Here is a 26,315-nt window from a genome sequence, read left to right as displayed (position 1 = left end):
CAGAACCTCGTAGCAGTGCTCTGGAATCCTATGTGAGGGACAAACTTTCAGACCCCAGCAGCAGTGTTCTGAAATCCTATGTGAGAGAGAACCTCTCAGAAACCAGCAGCAGTTTTCCAGAATCTTATATGAAGGCCAATCATTCAGACGATAGCTGGGGTGTTCTGGAAACCTAACTGTGGGACAAACATTCAGACCCTCGTAGCGGTGTTCGGGAATCCTATCTGAGGGACAAACATTTAGAGACACGTAGCAGTGGTCTGGAATCGTAAATGAGGGACAAACACTCAGAACCCAACAGCAGTATTCTGGAAACCTAAGTGAGAGACACGCATTCAGACAACAGCAAGAGTGTTCTGGATTCCTATGTGAGGGAGAAACACTCAGAACCCAGCGTCATTGTTCTGGATCCTATGTGAGAGACCATCAGAAAGATCACAGCTGGTGGGTTCTGGAATCCAAGTTTGGGACAAAGATTCAGACCCTCGTAGCATTGTTCTGGAGTCCTGTGTGAGGGACAAACATTTAGACCCACGTGGCAGGGTTCTGGAATCGTACATGAGGGACAAACACTCAGAACCCAACAGCAGTGTTCTGGAATCCTCAGTGAGGGATAAACATTCAGACGACAACAGGAGTGTTCTGGAATCCTATATGATGGAGAATAATTCAGACCCTTGTAGCAGTGTTCTGGAATCCTATGTGAGGGAGAAACTTTCAGACCACAGTAGCAGTGTTCTGGAATCCTATTTGTGGGAGAAACACTCAGAAAACAGCAGGAATGTTTTGGAACCTATGTGAGGGAGAAACATTCAGACCACAGCAGGATTCTGGTCAACAATTCAGACCAAGGCAGTAATGTTCTGGATTCCTATATGAGGGACAATCGTTCAGACCATAGCAGGTGAGTTCTGGAGTCCTATGCGAGGAACAAACATTTTGAACACAGCAGCAGTGTTCTGGAATCCTATTTGAGGGACAAACGTGCAGAACCTAAGAGCAGTGATCTGGAATCCTATCTGTGGGACAAATATTCAGAACGGAGCAGGAGGGTTCTGGAATACTATGTGAGGTACAATCATTCAGAACCTCGTAGCAGAGTTCTGGAGTCCTATGTGAAGGAGAAACACTCAGAACCCAGCAGCAGTGTTCGGGAATCCAATGTGAGGGACGATCTTTCAGACCACAGCTGTGGTGTTCTGGATTCCTAAGTGTGGGACAAACATTCAGACCCTCTTAGCATTGTTCTGGAATTTTATGTGAGGTAAATACATTCAGAACACAGAAGGAGATTTCTGGAGTCCATTGTGCGGGACAAACATTCAGAACCTCACAGCAGTATTCTGCAATCCTATGTGAGGGATAAACATTTAAACCCACGGAACAGTGTTCTGGAATCTTACATAAGGGACAAACACTCAGAACCCAACAGCAGTGTCCTAGAATCCCAAGTGAGGGACAAACATTCAGACCACAGCAGGAATCTTCTGGAATCCTATGTGAGGGAGAATAATTCAGACACTCGTAGCAGTGTTCTGGAATCCTATGTGAGGGACAAACATTCAGACCACAGCAGTAGTGTTCTGGAATCCTATGTGAGGGAGAAACACTCACAACTGAGCAGCAGTGTTCTGGAATCCTATGGGAGGGACAATCATTCAGATCACACCTGGGGTGCTCTGAAATCCTACATGTGAAAGAAACATTCACACGCTAGTAGCGTTGTTCTGGAATCCTGTGTGAGTAAAATACTTTCAAAACACAGCAGGAGTGTTCTGGAAGCCTATATGCGGGATATAAATGCAGTCCACAGTAGCAGTGTTCTGGAATCCTATGTGAGGCAAACACTCAGTACCCAAGGGCAGGGATCTGGAATCCTCAGTGAGGGACAAACATTCTGACCACAACAGGAGAGTTCTGGAAACCTATTTGAGGGAGAAAGCTTCAGAACCCAGCAGCAGTGTTCTGGAGTCCTATGTGTGGGACAATCATTCAGAAAACCGCTAGGGTGTACTAGAATCCTAAGTGTGGAACAAAGATTCAGAACCTTGTAGCATTGTTCGGGACTTCTATGTGAATAAAATACATTCAGAACACAGCAGGAGTGTTCTGTAGTCTTATATGAAGAAAAAGCATTCAGTCCTTCATAGCACGGTTCTGGAATCCTATGTGAGGGACAAACATTTAGACTCATGTAGAATTGTTCTGTAACCCTACGTGAGGGACACTCAGAACCCAACAGCAGTGTTCTGGATTCCTAAGTGAGCGACAAACATTCAGACCACAGAAGGAGTGTTCTGTAATCCTATGTGAGGGAGAAACACTCAGAACCCATAAGCCATGTTCTGGAATCCTATGTAAGAGACAATCATCCAGACCATTGTAACATTGTTCTGGAATCCTATGTGAGAAAAACACCTTCAAAACACAGCAGTAGTATTCTGGAGATCTATGTGCGAGACAAACATACAGACCCTCGAAACAGTGTTCTGGAATCCTAGGTAAGGGAAAAACATTTAGACCCACATAGCAGTCTTCTGGAATCGTACGTGAGGAACAAACATTCCGAACCCAACAACAGTGTTCTGGAATCTTAAGTGAGGGACAAACATTCAGACCACAGCAGGAGTGTTCTGGAATCCCATGTGTGGGAGAATAATTGAGACCCTTGTAGCAGTGTTCTCGAATCCTATCTGAGGGAAAAAAATTCAGACCCCAGTAGCAGTGTTATGGAATCCTCAGTGAGGGAGAAACACTCAGAACCCAGCAGCAGTGTTCTGGAATCCTATGTGTTGGACAATCATTCAGACCACAGCTGGGGTGTTCTGGATCCCTAGGTGTGGGACAAACATTCAGACCCTCGTAGTAATGTTCTGGAATCCTATGTGAGGAAGAACATTCAGAAGACAGCAGGAGTGTTGTGGAGTCCTATGTGTGGGACAAACATTCAGACCCTCGTAGCAGTGCTCTGGAATCCTACGTGAGGAACAAACTTTCAGACCACAGTAGAAGTATTCTGGAATCCTATTTGTGGGACAAACACTCAGACCACAGCAGGAATGTTTTGGAATCCTATGTGAGGGAGAATCATGCAGACCACAGCAGGATTGTTCTGGAATCCCACGTAAGGCACAAACACCCAGACCACAACAGGAGTGTTCTGGAATCCTATGTAAGGGTCAACCTTTCAGAACACAGCAGCAGTGTTCTGGAATCCTATAGGAGGGACAAACATTCAGACCACAGCAAGAGAGTTCTGGAATCCTATGTGAGGAACAAACATTCAGGCCACAGCAGCAGTGTTCTGGAATTCTATGTAAGGGACAATCATTCAGAACACAGCTGGGGTGTTCTGGAATCCTACGTGTGGGACAAACATTCAGACCCTCGTATCATTGTTCCAGAATCCTATGTGAGGAAGAACATTCAGAACACAGAAGGAGTGTTCTGGAGTCCTATGTGCATGACAAACACTCATACTCTCATGGTAGTGTTCTGGAATCCTATGTGAGGGACAAACATTTAGAAGCACGTAGCAGTGTTCTGGAATCGTACATGAGGGACAAACACTCAGAACCCAACAGCAGTGTTTTGGAGTCCTAAGTGAGGGAAAAACATTCAGACCACAGTAGGAGTGTCCTGGAGTCCTATGTGAGGGAGAATAATTCAGACCATTGCAGCAGTGTTCTGGAATCCTTTGTGAGGGACAAATATTCAGATGTCAGTAGCAGGGTTCTGCAATCCTATGTGAGGGAGAAACACTCAGAACCCAGCAGCGGTGTCCTGGAATGCTAATTGAGGGAAAAACACACAGATCACAGAAGGAATATTCTGGAATCCATTGTGAGGGAGAATAATACAGACCCTCGTAGCAGTGTTCTGGAATCCTATGTGAGGGAGAAATGCTCAACCCAGAAGCAGTGTTCTGCAATCCTATGTGAGGGACAATCATTCAGACTACAGCCGGGGTGTTCTGGAGTCCTACGTGTGGGACAAACATGCAGACCCGCGTAGCATTTTTCTGGAATCCTCTTTGAGGAAAATACATTCAGAACACAACAGGAGTGTTGTGGAGTCCTATGTGCGGGACAAACATTCAGTCCCTCGTAGCAGTGTTCTGGAATGCCATGTGAGGGAGAAACACTCATAACCCAGTAGTAGTATTGTGGAATCCTATATGAGGGACAATCATTCATACCACAGTTGAGGCATTCTGGAATCCTATGTGTGGGGCAAACATTCAGACCCGGACCCTTGTAGCACTGTTCTGCAATCCTATGTGAGGAACAAACTTTTAGACCCAGGGAGCAGTGTTCTGGAACCGCAAGTGAGAGACAAACACTTGGAACCCTACAGCAGTGTCCTGGAATCCTAATTGAGGGACAAACATACAGACCACGAAGGAATCTTCTGGAATCCTATGTGAGGGAGAATAATTCAGACCCTCGTAGCAGTGTTCTGCAATCCTATGTGAGGGAAAAACTTTCAGACCACAGTAGCAGTGTTCTGGAATACCATGTGAGGGAGAAACACTCACAACCCAGCAGCAGTGTTCTGGAATCCTATGTGAGGGACAATCATTCAGACCACAGCTGAGTTGTTCTGGAGTCCTAGGTTTGGGACAAAGATTCAGACTCACGTAGCATTGCTGTGGAATCCTATGTGAGGAAAATACTTTCAGAACACACTAGGTGTGTTCCAGAGTCCTATGTGCGAGACAAACATTCAGTCCCTTGTAGCAGTGTTCTAGAATCCTATGTGAGGGACAAACATTTACACCCATGTATCAGTGTTCTGTAACCGTACGTGAAGGACAAACAGTCAGAACCCAACAGCAGTGTTCTGCATTCCTAAGTGAGGGACAAACATTCAGATCATAGAAGGAGTGTTCTGTAATCCTATGTGAGGGAGAAACATTCAGAACCCAGAAGAAGTGTGCTGGAATCCTCTGTGAGGGACAATCATTTATACCATTGTAGCATTGTTCTGGAATCCTATGTGAGGAAAAACCCTTCAGAACACAGCAGTAGTGTTCTGCGGACCTACGTGCGGGACAAACATACAGACCCTCATAGCAGTGTTCTGGAATCTTATGTGAGGGAAAAACATTTAGACACACGTAGCAGTGTTTTGGAATCGTACGTGAGGGTCAAACACACAGAACCCGACAGCAGTGTTCTGGAAGCTTAAGTGAGGGACAAACATTCAGACCACAACAGGAGTGTTCTGGAATCCTATGTGAGGGAGAATAATTAAGATCCTCATAGCAGAGTTCTGGAATCCTATGTGAGGGAGAAAAATTCAGATCCCAGTAGCAATGTTTTGGAATCCTACGTAAAGGAGAAACACTCAGAACCCAGCAGCTGCGTTCTGGAATCCTATGTGAGGGACAATCATTCACACCACATCTGGGATGTTCTGGGTCCCTATGTGTGAGACAAACATTCAGACCCTCATAGCAATGTTATGGAATACTATGTGAGGAAGAACATTCAGAACACAGCAGCAGTGTTCTGGAGTCCTATGTGAGGGACAGTCATTCAGACCCCAGTTGGGGTGTTTTGGATCCCTAGGTGTGGGACAAATATTCAGAACCTCGTAGCATTGTTCTGGAATCCTATGTGAGGAAGAACATTCAGAACACAGTAGGAGTGTTCTGGAGTCCTATGTGCGGGACAAGCATTCAGAACCTCGTAGCAGTGTTCTGGAATTCTATGGGAGGGACCAACATTTAGACCCACGTAGCAATGTTCTGGAATCGTATGGGGGGGGAAACACTCAGTACCCAAGAACAGGGATCTGGAATCTTCAGTGAGTGACAAACATTCTGACCAGAGCAGGAGTGTTCTGGAAACATATTTGAAGGACAAACACTCAGAACCCAGCAGCTTTGTTCTGGAATCCTATGTGTGGGACAATCATTCAGAAAACCACTGAGGTGTTCTGGAATCCCACGTGTGGAACAAACATTCAGACCCTTGTAGCATTGTTCTGGAATCCTATGTGAGGAAAATACCTTCAGAACAAAGCAGGAGTGTTCTGGAGTCCTATGTGTGGGACAAACATTCAGAGCCTCGTAGCAGTGTTCTGGAATCTGATGTGAGGGAAAATCATTTAGACCCACGTAGCAGTGTTCTGGAATCGTACATGAGGGACAAACACTCAGACTCCAACAGCAGTGTTCTGGAATCCTAAGAGTGGGACAAACATTCAGACCACAGCAGGAGTGTTCTGGAATCCTATATGAGGGAGAATAAATCAGACGCTGTTAGCAGTGTTCTGTAATCCAATGTGAGGGACAAACTTTCAGACACCAGTAGCAGTATTCTGGAATCCTATTTGTGGTACAAACACTCAGACCACAGCAGGAATGTTTTGGAATCCTATGTGAGGGACAAACAGTCAGACCACAGCAGGATTGTTATGAAATCCCATGTGAGGCAAAAACACCCAGACCACAGCAGGAATGTACTGGAATCCTATGTGAGGGTCAACCATTCAGAATACAGCAGGAATGTTCTGGAATCCTATGTGAGTGTCAACCATTCAGACCACAGCACTAGTGTAATGGAATCCTACGTGAGGGACAAACTTTCAGAACCTCGTAACAGTGTTCTGGAATCCTATGTGAGGGACAAACACTCAGAACCCCGCAGCAGTGTTCTGGAATCCTAAGTGAGGGGCAAACATTCAGACCACAGCAGGAGTGTTCTGGAATCCTATGTGAGGGAGAATAATTCAGACCCTCGTAGCAGTGGTCTGGAATCCTATGTGAGGGAAAAACACTCAGAACCCAGCAGCAGTGTTCTGGAATCCTATGTGAGGGACAATCATTGAGACCACAACTGGGGTCTTCTTGAATCCTACGGGTTGGAAACGCATTCAGACTCTCGTAGCATTGTTCTGGAATCCTATTTTAGGAAAATACATTCAGAACACAGCGGGAGTGTTCTGGAGTCCTATGTGTGGGACAAATATTCAGACTCTCGTAGCAGTGTTCCGGAATCCTATGAGAGGGACAAATACTCAGAAACCCACAGCAGTGTTCTGTAATCCTATGTGATGTTCAAACATTCAGACCACAGCAGGAGTGTTCTGGAATCCAATGTGAGGGACAAGCATTCAGACCCCATCAGCAGTGTTCTGGAATCCTATCTGAGGGACAAACATTGACACCCAAGTAGCAGTGTTCTGGAATCTTATGTGCGGGACAAACACTCAGAACCCAACAGCAGTGTTCTGGAATCCTAAGTGAGGGACAACCATTCAGACCACAGCAGGAATGTTCTGGAATCCTGAGTGAGGCATAAACATTCAGACCACAGCAGGAGTGTTCTGGAATGCTATGTGAGGGAGAATAATTCAGACCCTCATAGCAGTGTTCTGGAATCCTATTTGAGGCACAAACATTCAGACCCCAGTAGCAGTGTTTTGGAATCCTATTTGAGAGACAAACACTCAGACCACAGAAGGAATGTTTTGGAATCCTATCTGAGGGGGAAACATTCAGAACACAGCAGGATAGATCTGGAAACCCTTGTGAGTCACAAACACCCAGAAGACAACAGGAATATTCTGGAATCCTATGTGAGGGTCAAGCATTCAGACCACATCAGTAGTGTTCTGGAATCCTATGTGAGGGACAAACATTTAGACCCACGTAGCAGTGTTCTGGAATCCTATGTATGAGACAAACATTCAGAAACTCTTAGCAGTGTTGTGGAATCCTATGTGAGGGAGAAACACTCAGAACCCAGTAGCAGTGTTCTGGAATCCTATGTGAGGGACAAATACTCAGAACCCAGAAGCTGTGTTCTGGAATCCTATCTGAGGGACAAACATTCAGACCAGAGCAGGAGTGTTCTGGAGTCCTATGTGTGGGACAAACATTCAGACCCTCGTAGCAGTGTTGTGGAATCCTACGTGGGAGACAAACACTCAGAACCCAGTAGTAGTGTTCTGGAATCCTATCTGAGGGACAAAAATTCAGACCAGAGCAGGAGTGTTCTGGAATCCTATGTGAGGTACAATCATTCAGACCCTTGTACCAGTGTTCTGGAATCCTATGTGAGGGAGAAACACTCAGAACCCAGCAGCAGTGTTCTGGAATCCTATGTGAGGGACAATCATTCAGACTGCAGCTGGGGTGTTCTGGAATCCTACTTGTGGGAGAAGCATTCAGACCCTCGTAGCATTGTTCTGGAATCCTATGTTAGGAAAACACATTCAGAACACAGCAGGAGTGTTCTGGAGTCCTATGTATGGGACAAAGATTCAGACCCTCGTAGAAGTGTTCTGGAATCTTATGTGAGGTAGAAACAATCGTACCCTCTTAGCAGTGTTCTGCAATCTCATGTGAAGGACAAACATTCAGACCCTCTTAGCAGTGTTCTGGAATCCTATGTGAGGGACAAACACTCAGAACCCAGCAGCAGTGTTCCGGAATATTATCTGAGGGACAAACATTCAGACTAGAGGAGGAGTGTTCTGGAATCCTGTGTGAGGTACAATCATTCAGACCGCAGCAGCAGTGTTCTGGAATCATATGTGGGGGGCAATCATTCAGACGACAGCTGGGGTGTTCTAGAATCCTATGTGTGGGACAGGCATTCAGACCCTCGTAGCATTGTTCTGGAATCCTATGTTAAGAAAATACAAATGTAAGGCTGAAAGTTGTAAAACTCCTACACAAAAATATAAGGGAAAAAATATCCTACATTATGCCATTGAATTTGGCAAAGGGTTCTTGACTGTCAGCAGCCCCACATCCCTGGAGCATCCATCCGCTCACCGCTGCCTGGTGCTAGGTCCCTCCACACCTAGCCCTGCTTTGTGAGGGGCTCTGAGGGGCACCAGCCAGGACCCCACTCTGAGCACACGGCACAGGCCGGGCATTCTCGGGCTATTCACTGGCAGGCTATCCCCACGTGTGCCTCAAGTACCAGGAGGAAGGGCAGCCTGATTGGAGTCTGTGGAAGTAGGAAGAAGCTCGTTTCCTGAGCCAGCAGGTACACAGAGGCGGATGCGGGACACAGGGACCCAGGGGTGGATGCCATAAAAATATATGGCATGTATTTTGAAACATGGCTGCAATTTCAATAATTAGAATATCTAAAAACTCCAAAGATTGTTATGCTAAAACTGCACCAAAATTTATCATTCCAGTGACTACAGGGAATTTTTAATAGTTGTTATTTTTGTAATAAAATTGAACTGTAATGAAATAACTGACTTTCAAACTTCAGCAAGAGGACAAATATTCAGCCAGAGATATCAGTTCCCAGTTTCTGCTCCGGGTCTTCTCTGGTCTCCCACAGCCCCTCTTGCATCACCCAGGGCTAAGGGGCCACCTGATCTGGCCTGCATCCCCTCATCCCTCCCCTTCCCCACCCAGCTCCTGCAGCAACCTCCTGGGGCAGGTTTGGCGAACCGTCCAGAGCGGGAGGCTCCCTCGACCAGGGCAGCACTGCTTCGCCCCTCTCCGCACCTGCCCAGTCTCTGGCAAAGGACGTGCCTGGGCCTGGCCCACTGCCCGCCCCCCCAACGCCTGCCTTGTCCCTGCAATGGCAATGCTGCCAACAAGAGTTGCCAGAAGCTGAGGCGCAACCACCCCAGAGTGCAGCGTTCCCACTCATCTGGGAGCAGGGACACGCCCCTCCTGGTAGGTTGTACAGTCAAGATTATTTCCTCATTTATTTTACTTAAAACTGGTAGAATGTTACTATTATATGGTGTACTCATGATTCTGCCAGTAAATTTGGGCATACGTTTATTAGTTTTTGTCAGTTTAACTAGTTCTTTTGTTTCTGTTATTAAGGTGAAATTTAACTTCTATCTGAAATCAGTAAGATACAGAGAGATTTTAATGAGAAGTGAATATTTTTTTCTAAGGGGGAACTGATATCTCTGTCTGAATATGTGTCCTCTTGCTAAAGTTTGAAAGTCAGTTATTTTATTAAAATTTAATTTATTATAAAAATAACTATTAAAAATTCCCTGTCATCAATGGAAGGATAAATTTTAGTGCAGTGTTGGTATAACAATCTTCGGAATTTTTAAATATTCTAATTATTCAAATTGTGGTCATGCTTTAAAAATATATTCCATAGAAGTTATGCTATTTTAAAATACCATTCTCTATTGTGGGAAGAAGCAGTAAATTCACCTTAACCATAGCAGCCTGTAGAGCTGGCTAAAACAACCTTTAGAGGTTAAATTGTAATGAGGTAGGTCATCAATGCAAAAAACAGTTTTTTTAGTTGTTCCGCTACCATACAAAACTTATTAGAAGAATGTTCATAAATTAAAATCTGTGTTTGTTAAGACTTCTTTCTGCTGGGGGTTTAGAATGTAATAAAAGCTAAAAATAAAATTCTAAGCCACGTATCACTGAACATACTTCCTCTTGAGCAAGAAGACCCCAGAAAAAAACTTAAAAACTGAATTTCTGGCTATGACAGGAAGAGAGGTGTTATGTGCAGGAGATGCTCCAGGGGAGGAGAAAACACACACACACAAAACTTTAAAGGTCAACAAACTCTATCCCACATAAATGGCAATGCAGATATAATAAGCAAATGATGATAAAATAAGCAAATTGATACAACAAGCAAATTACAATGGGAAAGGGGAGAAGGAAAAAAATGTGTATACATATGTATATATATATATATATATAGATAGACTATGGAAGATTGATCACCAGACCGAGAAGCAACAGCCTGGGCTCCAGAGTCAGCCATTCGTCCATGCACAAAGGAACACAAAAAGGTCAATTTGTTTTTGCCATTGTCTGTTGTTTTTCAATAACTAACGTATAGGAATAGATTGAAATAGAGATTTCTCTGAAACAGTGCTGGATGAATGCCTCAAGGGGCTCACAAAACCTATTCTGGGACTTGGTGACCATTGTGTCCATGTTCAATTGAGTTGAAATATATTATTTAACTTTTTCTCTGTATTCGGTCCCACTTGATACTCAATTGTAGGAAAACACCCTTGCAGATATACGGGGAATACATCATTGGTAGAGGTTAAAGAAGCAGGGTAAGCAGAGGAGAATTAAAGCACAATTAAATAAAATCACACCCACCAAGGCCAACGCCAATGTCAGTTGGACAGCCAATTCATGATGGGGTCCTGACAGATTCTAACTGTTTTAGTTGTCCTTGCATGTCTTGGGCAAGGAAAGTAATATTGTGAGAACTGTCAGGGATACACACACAACATTCAGTATGCAGCAAGGTTCAAACCCCTCCTTTGGCTGCTGCAAGCATACCTAATGGCATTCGATTTTGCTCCCAGTGTAATCAAGCAGAAAATGGTTGATTTCTGCATTTCCAACTGAGGTACCTGATTCATCTCATCGGGATTGGTTGGACAGTGGGTTCATCACATGGAGGGTTAGCCGAAGCAGGACAGGGCATCAACTCATCAAGGAAGTGCAAGGGTTTGAGGGATTTTCCTTTCCTAGCTGAGGGAAGGCATGACAGACTGTACCTGGAAAAACAGGACACTCTCACCCAAATGCTGCACTTTTCCCACAGTCTTAGCACCTGGCAGACCAGGAGATTCTCTCCTGTGCTGGGTTCATTGAGTCCCACACCCAGAGAGCCTTGTTCACTGCTAGGGAAGCAGTCTGAGATTAACCTTCAAGGCAGCAGCTGGGCAGGGGGAGGTGAATCTGCAATTTTTGAGGTTTGAGTAGGTAAATAAAGTGGTCAGGAAGCTTGAACTGGGTAGAGCCACTCACAGCTCAGCAAGGCCTACTGCCTTAATAAACTCAAACTCTGTGGGCAGGGCATAGCTGAGTAAAAGGTAGCAGAAACTTCTGCGGACTTAAACATCCCATCTGACAGCTCTGAAGAGAGCCGTGGTACTCCCGGCATGGTGTTTGAGCTCTGAGAATGGACATACTGCCTCCTCAAGTGGGTCCCTGAACCCCATGTAGCCTAACTGGGAGACAACTCCTAGTAAGGGCCAACAGACACCTCATACAGGTGGGAGCCCCTCTTCAATGAAGCTTCCAGGGAAGGATCAGGAAGCAATATTTGCTGTTCTTCAGCCTCTTCTGGTGATACCCAGGCAAACAAGGCCTGGAGTGGACCTCCAGCAAAATCCAACAGACCTGCAGCTGAGGGATCTGACTGTTAGTAGGAAAACTAACAAACAGAAAGGAATAGCATCAACATAAAAAAAAAGGACATCCACACCAAAACCCCATCTCTAGGTTAACAACATCAAAGACCAAAGGTAGAGAAAACCACAAAGATGGGAAGAATCCAGAGCAGAAAAGATGAAAATCCTAAAACCCAGAACACTTCTTTTCCTTCAAAGGATTGCAGCTCCTCACCAGCAACAGAACAAAGCTGAAGGGAGAATGACTTTGACCTGTTGACAGAAGGAGGCTTCAGAAGGTTGCTAATAAGAAACTTCTCTGAGCTAAAAGAGCGTGTTTGAACACACTGCAAGGAAGCTAAAAACCATGAAAAATGGTCAGACAATGGCTAACTAGTATAAACAGTGTAGAGAATACATTAATGACATTATGGAGCTGATATGGCACAAGAACTTTGTGGCACATGCACAACCTTCAAAAGCTGATTCAATCCAGTGGAAGAAAGCATATCAGTGATTGAAGATCAAATTAATAAAATACAGTGAGAAGGTAAGTTTAGAGTAAAAAGATTGGAAAGAAACAAACAAAGCCTCCATGAAAAATGGAACAATGTGAAAAGACCAAATCTACATTTGCTTGGTGTACCTAAATGTGATGGAGAGATTGGAACCAAGTTGGAAAACACTCCTTAGGTTATTATTCAGAAGAACTTTTCCAACATAGCAAGGCAGGCCAACATTCAAATTCAGGAAATACAGAGAATACCACAAAGATACTTCTAGATAAGAGCAACCCCAAGACACTAATTGTCAGATTCACCAGGGTTGAAATGAAGGAAAAAATGTTAAGGGCAGCCAGAGAGAAAGGTTGGGTTATCCACAAAGGGAAGCCCATCAGACTAACAGCAGATCTGTCAGCAGAAACCCTGCAAGCCAGAAGAAAGTGGGGACCAATATTCAACATTCTTAAAGAAAAGAATTTTCAGCCCAAAATTTCATATCCAGCTAAACTAAGCTTCATAAGTGAAGGAGAAATAAAATCCTTTACAGACAAGCAAATGCAGAGAGATTTTGTCACCACCTGGCCTGCCTTACAAGAGCTCCTGAAGGAAGCACTAAGAATGGAAAGGAACTACCAGTACAAGCCCCTGCAAAAAACATGTCAAATTGTAAAGAACATTGATACTATGAAGAAGCTGCATCAAAAAATGGGCAAAAGATCAAGCTAACATTATAATGACAGGATCAAATTCACACATAACAATATTGATCTTAAATGTAAATGGACTAAATGCCCCAATTAAAAGACATAGACTGGCAAATTGGATAAAGAGTCAAGACCCATCAATGTGCTGTATTCAGAAGACACATCTCACGTGCAGAGACACACATAGGCTCAAAATAAAGGGATGAGGAAGATCTACCAAGCAAATGGAAAGCAAAAAAAAAAAAATTTTAAAGCAGGGGTTGCAATCCTAGTCTCTGATAAAACAGACTTTAAACAAACAAAGATCAAAGGACACTAAGAAGGCCATTATACAATGGCAAAAGGATTAATTCAGCAAGAAGAGCTAACTACTGTAAATATATATGCACCCAACACAGGAGGACCCGGATTCATAAATTAAGTCCTTAGATACCTACAAACAGACTTAGACTTCCACAAAATAATCATGGGAGATTTTAACACCCTACTGTCAATATTAGACAAATCAACAAGACAGAAGGTTAACAAGGATATCCAGGACTTCAGCTCAGCTCTGCACCAAGCAGACCTAACAGAAATCTACAGAACTCTCCACCCCATATCAGCAGAATAAACATTCTTCTCAGTACCACATCACACTTATTCTAAAATGGATCACATAATTGGAAGTAAGCACTCCTCAGCAAATGTAAAAGAACAGATATCACAACAAACTGTCTCTCAGATCACAGAGCAATCAAATTAGGACTCAGGATTAAGAAACTCACTCAAAACAGCATAAGTTCGTGGAAACTGAACAAACTGCTCATGAATGACTACTGGGTAAATAATGAAATAAAGGTAACAATAAAGATGTTCTTGGAAACCAGTGAGAACAAAGACAAAAAACACCAGAATCTCAGGGACACATTTAAAGCAGTGTGTAGAGGGAAATTTATAGCACTAACTGCCCACAAGAGAAAGCAGAAAAGATCCAAAATTGACACCCTAACATCACAATTAAAAGAACTAGAAAAGCAAGAGCAAACACATTCAAAAGCTAGCAGAAGGCAAGAAATAACTAAAATCAGAGCAGAACTGAAGGAAATAGAGACACCCTTCAAAAAATTAATGGATCCAGGAGCTGTTTTTTTGAAAGGATCAACAAAATTGATAGACCACTAGCAAGACTAATACAGAAGAAAAGAGAGAAGAATCAAATAGATGCAATAAAAAATGATAAAGGGGATATCACCACCGATCCCACAGAAATACAAACTACCATCAGATAATACTACCAACACCTCTACACAAATAAACTAGAAAATCTAGAAGAAATGGATAAATTCCTATATACATACACTCTACCAAGACTAAACCAGGAATAACTTGAATCTCTGAATAGACCAATAACAGGTTCTGAAATTGTGGCAATAATCAATAGCTTACCAACCAAAAGGAGTCCAGGACCAGATGGATTCACAGACGAATTCTGCCAGAGGTACAAGGAGGAACTGGTACCGTTCCTTCTGAAACTATTCCAATCAATAGAAAAAGAGGAAATCCTCCCTAACTCATTTTATGAGGCCAGCATCATCCTGATACCAAAGCCAGGCAGAGACACAACCAAAAAAGAGAATTTTAGACCAATATCCTTGATGAACATTGATGCAAAAACCCTCAATAAAATACTGGCAAACTGAATACAGCAGCACATCAAAAAGCTTGTCCACCATGATCAAGTGGGCTTCATCCCTGGGATGCAAGGCTGGTTCAATATACACAAATCAATAAATGTAGTCCAGCATATAAACAGAACCAAAGACAAAAACCACATGATTATCTCAATAGATACAGAAAAGGCCTTTGACAAAATTCAACAACCCTTCATGCTAAAAACTCTCAATAAATTAGGTATTGATGGGACGTATTTCAAAATAATAAGAGCTATCTATGACAAACCCACAGCCAATATCATACTGAATGGTCAAAAACTGGAAGCATTCCCTTTGAAAACTGACACAAGACAGGGATGCCCTCTCTCACCACTCCTATTCAACATAGTGTTGGAAGTTCTGGCCAGGGCAATTAGGCAGGAGAAGGAAATAAAGGGTATTCAATTAGGAAAAGAGGAAGTCAAATTGTCCCTGTTTGCAGATGACATGATTGTGTATCTAGAAAACCCCATTGTCTCAGCCCAAAATCTCCTTCAGCTGATAAGCAACTTCAGCAAAGTCTCAGGATACAAAATCAATGTACAAAAATCACAAGCATTTTTATACACCAATAATAGACAAACAGAGAGCCAAATCATAAGTGAACTCCCATTCACAATTGCTTCAAAGAGAATAAAATACCCAGGAATCCAACCTACAAGGGACGTGAAGGACCTCTTCAAGGTGAACTACAAACCACTGCTCAAGGAAATAAAAGAGGATACAAACAAATGGAAGAACATTCCATGCTCATGGGTAGGAAGAATCAATATCGTAAAAATGGTCATAATGCCCAAGGTAATTTATAGATTCAATGCCATCCCCATCAAGCTACCAATGACTTTCCTCACAGAATTGGAAAAACTACTTTAAAGTTCATATGGAACCAAAAAAGAGCCCGTATCGCCACGTCAATCTTAAGTCAAAAGAACAAAGCTGGAGGCATCACACTACCTGACTTCAAACAATACTACAAGGCTACAGTAACCAGTAACCAAAACAGCACGGTACTGGTACCAAAACAGAGATATAGACCAATGGAACAAAACAGAGCCCTCAGAAATAATGCCACATATCTACAACTATCTGATCTTTGACAAACCTGAGAAAAACAAGCAATGGGGAAAGGATTCCCTATTTAATAAATGGTGCTGGGAAAACAGGCTAGCCATTTGTAGAAAGCTAAAGCTGGATCCCTTCCTTACACCTTATACAAAAATTAATTCAAGAAGGTTTAAAGACTTAAACATTAGACCTAAAACCATAAAAACCCTAGAAGAAAACCTAGGCAATACCATTCAGGACATAGGCATGTGCAAGGACTTCATGTCTAAAACACCAAAAGCAATGGCAACCAAAGCCAAATTGACAAATGGGATCTAATTAAAGAGCTTCTGCACAGAAAAGAAACTACCATCAGAGTGAACAGGCAACCTACAGAATGGGAGAAAAGTTTTGCAACTTACTCATCTGACAAAGGGCTAATATCCAGAATCTACAATGAACTCAAACAAATTTACAAGAAAAAAACAAACAATCCCATCAAAAAGTGGGTGAAGGACATGAACAGACACTTCTCAAAAGAAGACATTTATACAGCCAGAAAACACATGAAAAAATTCTCACCATCACTGCCCATCAGAGAAATGCAAATCAAAACCACAATGAGATACCATCTCACACCAGTTAGAATGGTGATCATTAAAAAGTCAGGAGGCAACAGGTGTTGGAGAGGATGTGGAGAAATAGGAACACTTTTACACTGTTTGTGGGACTGTAAACTAGTTCAACCATTGTGGAAGTCAGTGTGGTGATTCCTCAGGGATCTAGAACTAGAACTACCATTTGACCCAGCCATCCCATTATTGGGTATATACCCAAATGACTATAAATCATGCTGCTATAAAGACACATGAACACGTATGTTTATTGCGGCTCTATTCATAATAGCAAAGACTTGGAACCAACCCAAATGTCCAACAATGATAGACTGGATTAAGCAAATGTGGCACATATACACCATGGAATACTATGCAGCCATGAAAAATGATGAGTTCATGTCCTTTGTAGGGACATGGATGAAACTGGAATCCATCATTCTCAGCAAACTATCACAAGGACAAAAAACCAAACACTGCATGTTCTCACTCATAGTTGGGAGTTGAAAAATGATTACACATGGACACAGGAAGAGGAACATCACACTCTGGGGACAGTTATAGGGTGCAGGGAGAGGGGAGAGATAGCATTAGGAGATATACCTAATGCTAAATGACGAGTTAATGTGTGCAGCACACCAGCATGGCACATGTATACATATGTAACTAACCTGCACATTGTTCACATGTACCCTATAACTTAAAGTATAATAAAAAATTAATTAATAAATATATATTCCTCAATTAAAAAAAAGAACTCTGAGTGTACTGATAGCCAAGCTGAGACAGTAAAAAGCATGATATAGTAAAGTCATGATCAATTTGGACACATACTGATATTGGGCTAAGATGGAGATTAAAATATGTATATCAGTGTTAAAAAAAAAAAGAAAGACTGTTATGCAACACTCCAGAAACTCTTAAAACTCACATTTGATAAAGAGACTGTTACTCAAAACACTTCAATAACTCTTAAAACTCACATCTGATAAAGAGACTTTACACAAAACACTCCAATAACCCTTAAAACTGACATCCGATAAAGAGACTGTTTTGCAAAACATTCCAAAAACTCTTAAAACTCACATCTGATAAAGAGACTGTTAGGCAAAACATTCCGAATACTCTTAAAACTCGCATCTGATAAAGTGGCTGTTATACAAAGCACTCCAAAAACTGTTAAAACTCACATCTGATAAAGAGACTGTTTCACAAAACATTCCAAAAACTAAACTCACATCTGATAAAGAGACTGTTACGCAAAACATTCCAAAAACTCTTAAAACTGTACAGTAAGAAAACCACCTAATAAAATAGACCAAAGACCTTAACAGATACCTCACCAATTATGAGAACCATATAGGAAATAAACTCATAAAAGAATGCATTATATTGTGTAACGTTAGGGTAACATATTAAAACAATGAGATACCGCTACATACCTAGTAGAATGGCCAAAATCTGGAGCACTGACAACAACTGATATTGAGAATGTGCAGCAACAGGAACTCTCATTCAGACTGTGGAAATGCAAAGCGGTACAGTCACTCAGTTGGAGGACAATTTGTTCTTAGAAAAATAAACATATTCTCACCATATGATCCAGCAACTGCATCCCTTGGTAGTTACCCAAAGTAAGTGAAAATAAATGCTATCATAAAAACCTGTGAACAGGGATTTATAGCAGCTTTATTCAAAATAACTAAAATTTGGAAGCAACCAAGATGCCCTTCAGTAAGTGAATGGATAAACTATGGTACACACAATAGAACATAATTCAGCACTAAAAAGAAATGGGCTATCTTGTCCTCAAAAGATGAGGAAACTTAAAAGCATATTACTAAGTAAAAGAAGGCAGTCTGAAAAGGCTACTTACTATATAACTGCAACTATGTAACATGCGAAATGATGGAGATGGTTTGCAGGGTTAAGGGGATGATATGTAATAAACAGGAAGAGCAGGGATGACTTTTAGAACAAAGTGTTCTGTGAGGTACTATAAGGCTGGATACATGTCATTATACATTTACTCAAACCCATAGCATGTAAAACCACAAGAGTAAACCCTAATGTAAACTATGGCCTTTGGACAACTATGATGTCTCAATGTAGGTTCCTCATTTTAACAAAGGTACTACCATGGTTGGGGGAGGTGTTGAAAAGGGCGAAGGATACATATATATGTGCATTAGGGTATATAGGAAATCTATGTACTTCTTAATTCTGCTGTGAAGTTAAAACTGCCTTAACTAATGAAGTATATTTATTCTAAAAAGGAATCTAACCATCTAAAAATGTTTTTAATAACAAAAATTAAATCAATATTAAAAACCACTTCGCCATTTGTAATAAGAACTCTCACTAATAATGAATGCATAAAGAAAATGTGGTCTATACATGCAATGAATTATTACTCAGCCTTAAAAAGGAAGAAAATCTTGCCATTTGCAGAAACATGCACATACCAGAAAGATATTGTGCTAAGAAATAAGCCAAACAGGAACAAAGTATTACATAATCCCATCTGCAATAGTCTGGATGTATGTATTCCCCTCTAATTCCTATGTTGAAATCTTATCACCAAGGTGATAGTATTAGAAGGTGAGGCCTCAGGGAAGTGATGAGGTGAGGGCTCTTCCCTCTCGAATGGACTGGGAGTATATTCATTCTCTGCCACTCTTTTGTCTTCCACCATGTAAGGATGCAGGAAGAAGTCTCTCATCAGGTACCAGATGACAGTGCCTTGATCCTGGACTTCCCAGCTTCCAGAACTGTTAAGAATAAATTTCTGTCCTTTATTAATTACCAAGTCTGAAGGATGCTGTTGTTCCAGCTCAAATGAAGCCATGCTTCCTGTACAGCCTGAGGAACTCCAAGTATATAAAAATGTAAAACAGTTAAACTTACACAAACATAGAGCTGAATCTTGGTTACCAAGGGCTGAGGGGGAAGGGTAACTGGGGGGGTATTGGTCGCAGGGTATAAGTTTTAGTTATGCAATGAGTAAGTTCTAAATATCGAATCTACAGATCAAAGCCTGTAGTTAATACGGAATTGCATACTTAAAAATTTGTTAAGAGGATGGTATTGTTTCGATTTGTTTACTTGCCCAAATCTCATGTCAAATTGTAAGCCTCAAGGCTGGCTGTAGGAGGGGCCTGGTGGGAGGTGACTAGATCAGGGGGCAGACTTGCCCCTTGCTGTTCTCCTGTTAGTAAATTCTCACGAGATCTGGTTGTTAAAAGTGTATAGAACCTCCCTCTTCACCACCCACTTTCTCCTGCTCCAGACACATAGGACGTGCCTGCTTCCCCTTCATCTTACACCATAATTGTAAGTTTCATGAGGCCTCCCCAGCCATGCTTCCTCTACAGTCTGTGGAACTGTGAGCAAATTAAACCTCTTTTCTTTATAAATTACCCAGTCTGAGGTAGTTTTTTATAGCAATGGGAGAATGGACTTATACAGAGAATATATCTTAAGTCAGATGGTTGTATCCCAAAAGGGGCAGGGAGGGGGGAAGAAATTTGTGGAGGCAAAGGTTGTTTATCACACTGTTTGTGGTGTCAGTTCGATGGGTGAATACTTATCTCTACAGGTAAGTATATTTCGCATGTGGAAGGAATGTAAACAATTTGTAGCCAGAGGGAAAACTGTGGTTTATTAAAGACTGATAAAGATTCTTACTATTCCTCTTATTGAGATGTAGAAGCTAATTACTGTCTAATCTAATACTGTATGTAAAGGAAAAGAGAAGGATATAATTTTATTTTGGATTTAAGCTTGAGGTGCCTTTCGGATAGCTACAAAGAATCATTCAATGGAGAGCTGAACCTGTGGTCTAGAGCAGTGATCCCCAAACTTTTTGGCACCAGGTTTTGTGAAAGACAATTTTTCCATATACCAGGGTGTGAGGGGGGATGGTTTTGGGATGAAATTGTTCATCAGACATTAGATTCTCATAAGGAGCAGGTAACCTAGATCCCTCACATGCATATTTCACAATAGGGTTCATGCTCCTGTGAGAATTTAATGCTGTCATTCATCTGACAGGAGGCAGAGTGCAGGCAGTAATTCTTGCTTGCCTGCTACTCATCTCCTGCTGTGCAGCGCAGTTCCTCACAGGACACACATTGGAGCAGTCCATGGCCTGGGGGTTTGGGATCCCTGGTCTAAAGGCCGGAGAAGTCCAAGCTGGAGAGAAACACAACTGCTACAACACAGACAGCAGAACTGGTAATAAACAAACAACCAACAACAAAAAAAGAACTGCACATTGGGATGGATGGGGAATTGGATGAAACAACTGGATAAGCTATGTAAAGGAGAAGTAGAAGAATTCAGGAAAAAAAGACAAGCAGCATCAGTGAGGTCATGATAGAAACTAACACAGAAGAATTTCCAGGAGAAGATCATGAACAATAATTTGAAATGCAGGAATCCCCCCTTATCCATGAGGGATACATTCCAGGTCCCCTAGTGGGTCCCTGAAACTGTGTATAGTACCAAACCCTATATACACTATGTTTTTTCCTATATATACACACCCTTGACAGTTTAATTTATAAATTAGGCACAGTATGATATTACCGACAATAAAATGGAACAATTAGGTCAACATACTATACTAAAAGTTATAGGAATGTGGTGTCTCAAAATATCTTCTTCTACTGTATTCAACATATTCAAAATATCAAAATATTCAAGATATTCAAAATATCTTATTGTCTTTTCTGTCTGCAGTTGACTACAGGGAACTGAAACAACAGAAAGCAAAACTGTGGATAAAGGGGATTACTGTACGGCACAAGATTCAAGTAAGGCAGACTAGCGTATAGCCATTGGAGTTGCATATAATTTGGGTTAATGGGTAGCATTAGAATAAACCAATTAAGACTACATTGAATGAAAGTGCAAGTGAGCAGTGGAAATATTTGTCAGAGAATACAATTGTGAACAATCTGCTACAAATTCTCCATGTACAGATGAATTGACAGAAATGTATGGGGGGTTAGTTAAGGACCTGTGGTCAACTCAATCCTCCAGATGTTCTAGGATTTAGCCATGAATCAAGTAGGGCCTTCCAAAATCTGTCTGGGACCACACTGTTTCAGCAACCAGAAAAACCTCATTACAGGAGTTATGCTTTAGCACTAAGTGACTATTTATACTGCAAAATGCTAAAAGTGTTTACTTCCAGGTTGGCAGTAAAAAAACCTTTTCACTACATCATCTCTGTGACCAATGCAGTCAGTGTTCCAGACTTTGGTGACAGCAAGTCTTCCTGTCCCATGAGAATGGAACATACACTCTTTCCAGGTTCCATTCCAATCATGTAACAAATGTGACTGCCTCTTTGTTGCAGCATCGGAAAGACCAGAGACACATTTGTACTCAAGTTCTATAGCTTATAACCTGCATATGTCTACATGCCAGCATTATTTTATTAATGTGTATTTCCTTTAACCTGAATTTTACTTATTTCTATCTTTTCATTTTAATCCATGGACTCCATAAAGGCAAAAAATACAATGTAAAACAAAGTGAGGAATATATAAACAAATGACTCACCAGAGATTTATTCATTGTTTGCTGATCGTGAAAATGCACAGAGCACTCTGGAAGCATAGCTGTGATAACAGTCGAATGGAGTGGGTTAAGGAGAGAACTGATGTGGCTTGGTCCTAGATTCTCCTGCCCAAAATGTTCTACACAATAGCTGGAAAAGACTAAAACAACAAAAAAACCTCCCTGTGACAGAATAGTCATTCATGCCTCAATAAGGGACAACAAATATCCCACTGAAGATGTACCCACAAGTATATTAACTAGTAGAGATACATACAATTTATTTTGGGATTAATGAAAGCATGTATTACCTACTGATTTAGGGACAATTAATTTATCCAAAAAACAATGTAATAATTTAAAACAAAGAAATATACATTTAGTCTTCAATGAAATTAATATTATAGAAATATAATTCAGCTGCATTAACTATTTCACTACTAATATGGAGATTCTACATGATTCCATATAGGTGTTTCCACTAGAACACATCTTGCTTTTATACCTATGCATCATTGAAAGGATGCATCTTTTATATACCTAAGCATCATTGAAAGGATGTATCTTGCAACCCAACATTTTTTGCCTACAATTATATAGGGGGAAAAATGTACATATTGTATATTTCTTGGGATATACTGTTTTAGTAATGTTTCCTAGTGACAAGTCTCCCTGTATCTAAGACCTCATAGAGTGTGCTCTGATAACAAATGGGGCTCTGTCATTTGACTTGCTTTGGCCAATGGGACATAGAAAATATGATGAAAATGTAGGTTGGAAAAGTACTTGCCCACTGGTGCTTGCCTTCTTGAACAAGTGTCAGCATGAACCACCAGACATGCGAGTGAAGGCACCAGATGACCAAAGCCTCATTTGTGATCCAGACAACATTAGCAAAGGAAATGCCCAGGTGAACACACACCAAAATGTGAATCAACAGAACTTCTTTTTAAGCCATTGAGTTTCGTTGGTTCTTTACACAGAAAACAGTAACTGATACACCTAAGCCACCAGAACTTAATGTTTTTAAGAAAATCATGTGAAGGAGATAATGTGAAGTTACTTGTCAAATACAATCACTAGAACGTCACAACCTCATGTAGAAGTTTTGTAAATCACAATAAATGCCAACTTGATGGAAATCAGTGAGACTGCTAGTGCTAAGATACCATGTGAATCATAAAAAGCAACTCTTTGCATATTAGTAAACTGTGTTTTAAGGTTCTTTACATCATAAAAATGTCTGTTGACTTTAAAAAAATGCAAAAAAAGGATCTCTTACAAGTGAGCATTGTACTGTATTTTACTTAAGTTTTAAGATACTGGTTGGAATAGAAGTGAGACACTGTCTAATCTTCCCTTTTTAAATATGTAAAATACTCTATTGTTTTCCTACAGAATTTATAATTTCCAAGAACAGATTACTGACACTGAGCGGTAAACACTTGTGTCATTTGTCCTTGAGGTCACATAATTCACAGAAAGAGTTGGGTATAAAAAGGAACAGAGATGGTTAAGGAAATGTTTCTGCTTGGTTGGTTGGTTTGAGACAGAGTCTCATTCTGTCACCCAGGCTGGAGTGCAGTGGCACAACCATAGCTCACTGTAACTTCGCCCTCCTGGGCTCAAGTGATCTTCCCACCTCAGCCCCCCAAGTAGTTAGATCCACAGGTGCATGCCACCACGACCAGCTAAATTTTTTTTTTTTTTTTTTGTAAACACATAGGGTCTCCCTATGTGGCCAAGACTAGTCTCAAACTCCTGGGTGCAAGCGATCCTCCTGTCTTGGCCTCCCAAAATGCTATGATTATGGCTGTGAGACACTGCACCCGGCAAGGGAAAGTACTTTATTATTATTTTTTCCAGTGGGAGGGTTTGGTCAGGCAGTGAGCGGCTGAGAAAGTATTTTAAAGCAATGTTTGTTCTTAGTTGACTTCAGTGTCAACAAAAATCTAAAAAAAAAAAAAAGGAAAAAAAAGTTTTGACTTAACTGGGGCAAAATGAGTAACACTAGCCAAAAAGTCAGGATGCATAACATCTGTATATCATGTGACCCTGGCAAGTCCCAGCTCCTCAAAGCCAAATTTTTTTCATCTTTCTCATAAGGTAGAAATAGTTTGGCAAACGCTTACTGAACTACCAGGAAGAGCTACCAGGATAGAGGGAGCTTTGGCATATCACTAGATGCTAAATTTCGTGACTGGATGCTACATTTGGTGACAAGCTTTTTTTTCTTTTCCTTTTTTTTTTTTTTTTTTTGAGAGACAGAGTCTCGCTCTGTTGCCCAGGCTAGAGTAGGGTGGCACAATCTCGGCTCACTGCAACCTCCACCTGCCCAGTACAAGTGATTCTCTTGCCTCAGTTTCCCAAGTAGCTGGGACTATACAGGTGTGCACCACTATGCCCAGCTAATTTCTGTATTTTTTAGTAGAGACAAGGTTTCACTATATGTTGGCCAGGCTGGTGTCAAACTCCTAACCTCAGGTGATCCTCCCGTCTTGGCCTACACTACTTTTAAGAAAGTTCAGCCACTAGAAACAATGAGAAAAGATTGAAGGAATGAAAGTGTCTTTACAGAGTACTCCAGACAGATCCTCTCAGGAGTAACAGGTTATTTTTCCACCGAAGACCACACTATTAAGTCCCCTCCAATAAGTCACATCTCTTTGGCCCTTGCCTGCATTCGCAGCCAAACTCCCCTCTTCCTTCTGAATGTTGGTCCAAACCTTCCGCTACCACCCAGTGTTTGAGAGCTACTGGATAAGGTCTTATCAACCAAATCTTGGCCACTCTGGGGAGTGGGAAAATAACTGCTTGGGTCATACAAACTGGAATCTTCACCTGTGACGCTTCCTCTGCTTTGAAGTACCAGTGAGAAGGTTTGTCCAAAGAGGGGTTCTTTCAGGTGGGATTCCTAAAAGGCGCCCTCTTCCAAACTTTGTACTTACCTTATTACACAGAAAACAGGACCATCATCTGGATCCCCAACTTCCCTAGAAACCAGATCTTTTATAAACTCCTATAAACTAAAACATGGATGGGATGAGTAGGAATGGGACACAAGGAGAATCTTCACTTGCTGAAAGACACCGGGAAACCCTACTAATACACTCGCCAGGCAGTAGGACGGTGTGCACGCATTTCGTAGTCCTCTTCTGGGAATGAGGGGCATCTCCCTAGAACTGTCCATATGCTGATCTTACAATGGCGTGCACGGAATGCTGCACAAGGTCCATGCAGTGCCGGAGCGCAGCCTCCCCGCAGACCTCCCAGGCTCGGGCGGTCTGCAGACCCCTTTCCCGCGCCACCGGCTTCGCCCAGCCGCTTTGGCGCCTCTGGAACTGGCTTCAGTGCGGGGATTCCACGCCCGCCCTCCCAGCAGCGCCGCCCTTTCAGCCCCAGCCGGGGTCCGCGGCCCGCACCTGTGCGTCAGGCCCCGCCCCCTCAATATGTGCCCACGCCTCTGCTCCCACCAACTGTGGCACGTCGGTCCCGCCTCCCAGTGGTGCCTCCAAGCCCGCTGTCTCCTGTTTCATCCCACCACCAACCTGCAGGGACAAAGACCCGAACCCCAGAGCTTCCAGAACAGCCTCTTATTGCAGCAGGAGCCGGGATTCTCTGACGGAAGATGGCGGGAGTGGGCGGGGCGGCGTTTGAGCAAAGAGCCCTTCCCACCGTCCTGTGCTGGTGACGTGATTGGAAGCCGAGACTGCATTTCCCACTAGACATTGCAGTATTGAGGCGGGAAATTCTGTTCCAAGCGGGAGACGAGGATGGATAGGGATTGGTGTCTGTCCGCCTGGCAGACGTGTAATCTGGTTATTAAATCCTGGCTTGACAACTAGGCACACTGTGCAAATATTGGGAAAATTCGAATGCCGGCCAACTAGTCAATTATATTAGCAAGTAATCTTACTTTTTTTTTTTTTTTTTAGTTCTAAGTGTTGCTGTCACAGAAAAAAACTTTTTTTTTCCTTTTTTAACGGATTCTCCCTCTGTCTCCCAGGCTGGAGTGCAGTGACGGGATCTCAGCTCACTGCAGCCTCCGCCTCCCAAGTTCAAGCAATCCTC

The 26,315-nt window shown here is 42.1% G+C and overlaps 1 long non-coding RNA gene across 4 annotated transcripts; it reads right to left on the bottom strand.

Annotated features, from left to right (window-relative positions):
* Positions 1–1,236: 1,236 nt before the first annotated feature.
* LOC100505874 (uncharacterized) lies at positions 1,237–25,881 on the bottom strand. Of its 4 annotated transcripts, none has more exons than NR_184563.1 (4): positions 25,793–25,881; positions 22,248–22,405; positions 18,119–18,196; positions 1,237–8,639 (listed from the first exon to the last, which is right to left on the bottom strand). It is a non-coding gene; the product is annotated as an uncharacterized LOC100505874 (long non-coding RNA). The 4 variants fall into 4 exon arrangements; NR_135482.2 differs by having other exon boundaries at positions 22,248–22,306; NR_184562.1 differs by lacking the exons at positions 1,237–8,639; positions 18,119–18,196 and adding an exon at positions 18,344–19,447.
* Between the last annotated feature and the right edge of the window lie 434 nt (positions 25,882–26,315).

Source organism: Homo sapiens, unplaced genomic scaffold, assembly GCF_000001405.40.
Source record: "Homo sapiens unplaced genomic scaffold, GRCh38.p14 Primary Assembly HSCHRUN_RANDOM_CTG16".
Taxonomy (NCBI): Eukaryota; Metazoa; Chordata; class Mammalia; order Primates; family Hominidae; genus Homo; species Homo sapiens.
This window is presented reverse-complemented; position numbering and strand designations above follow the sequence as displayed.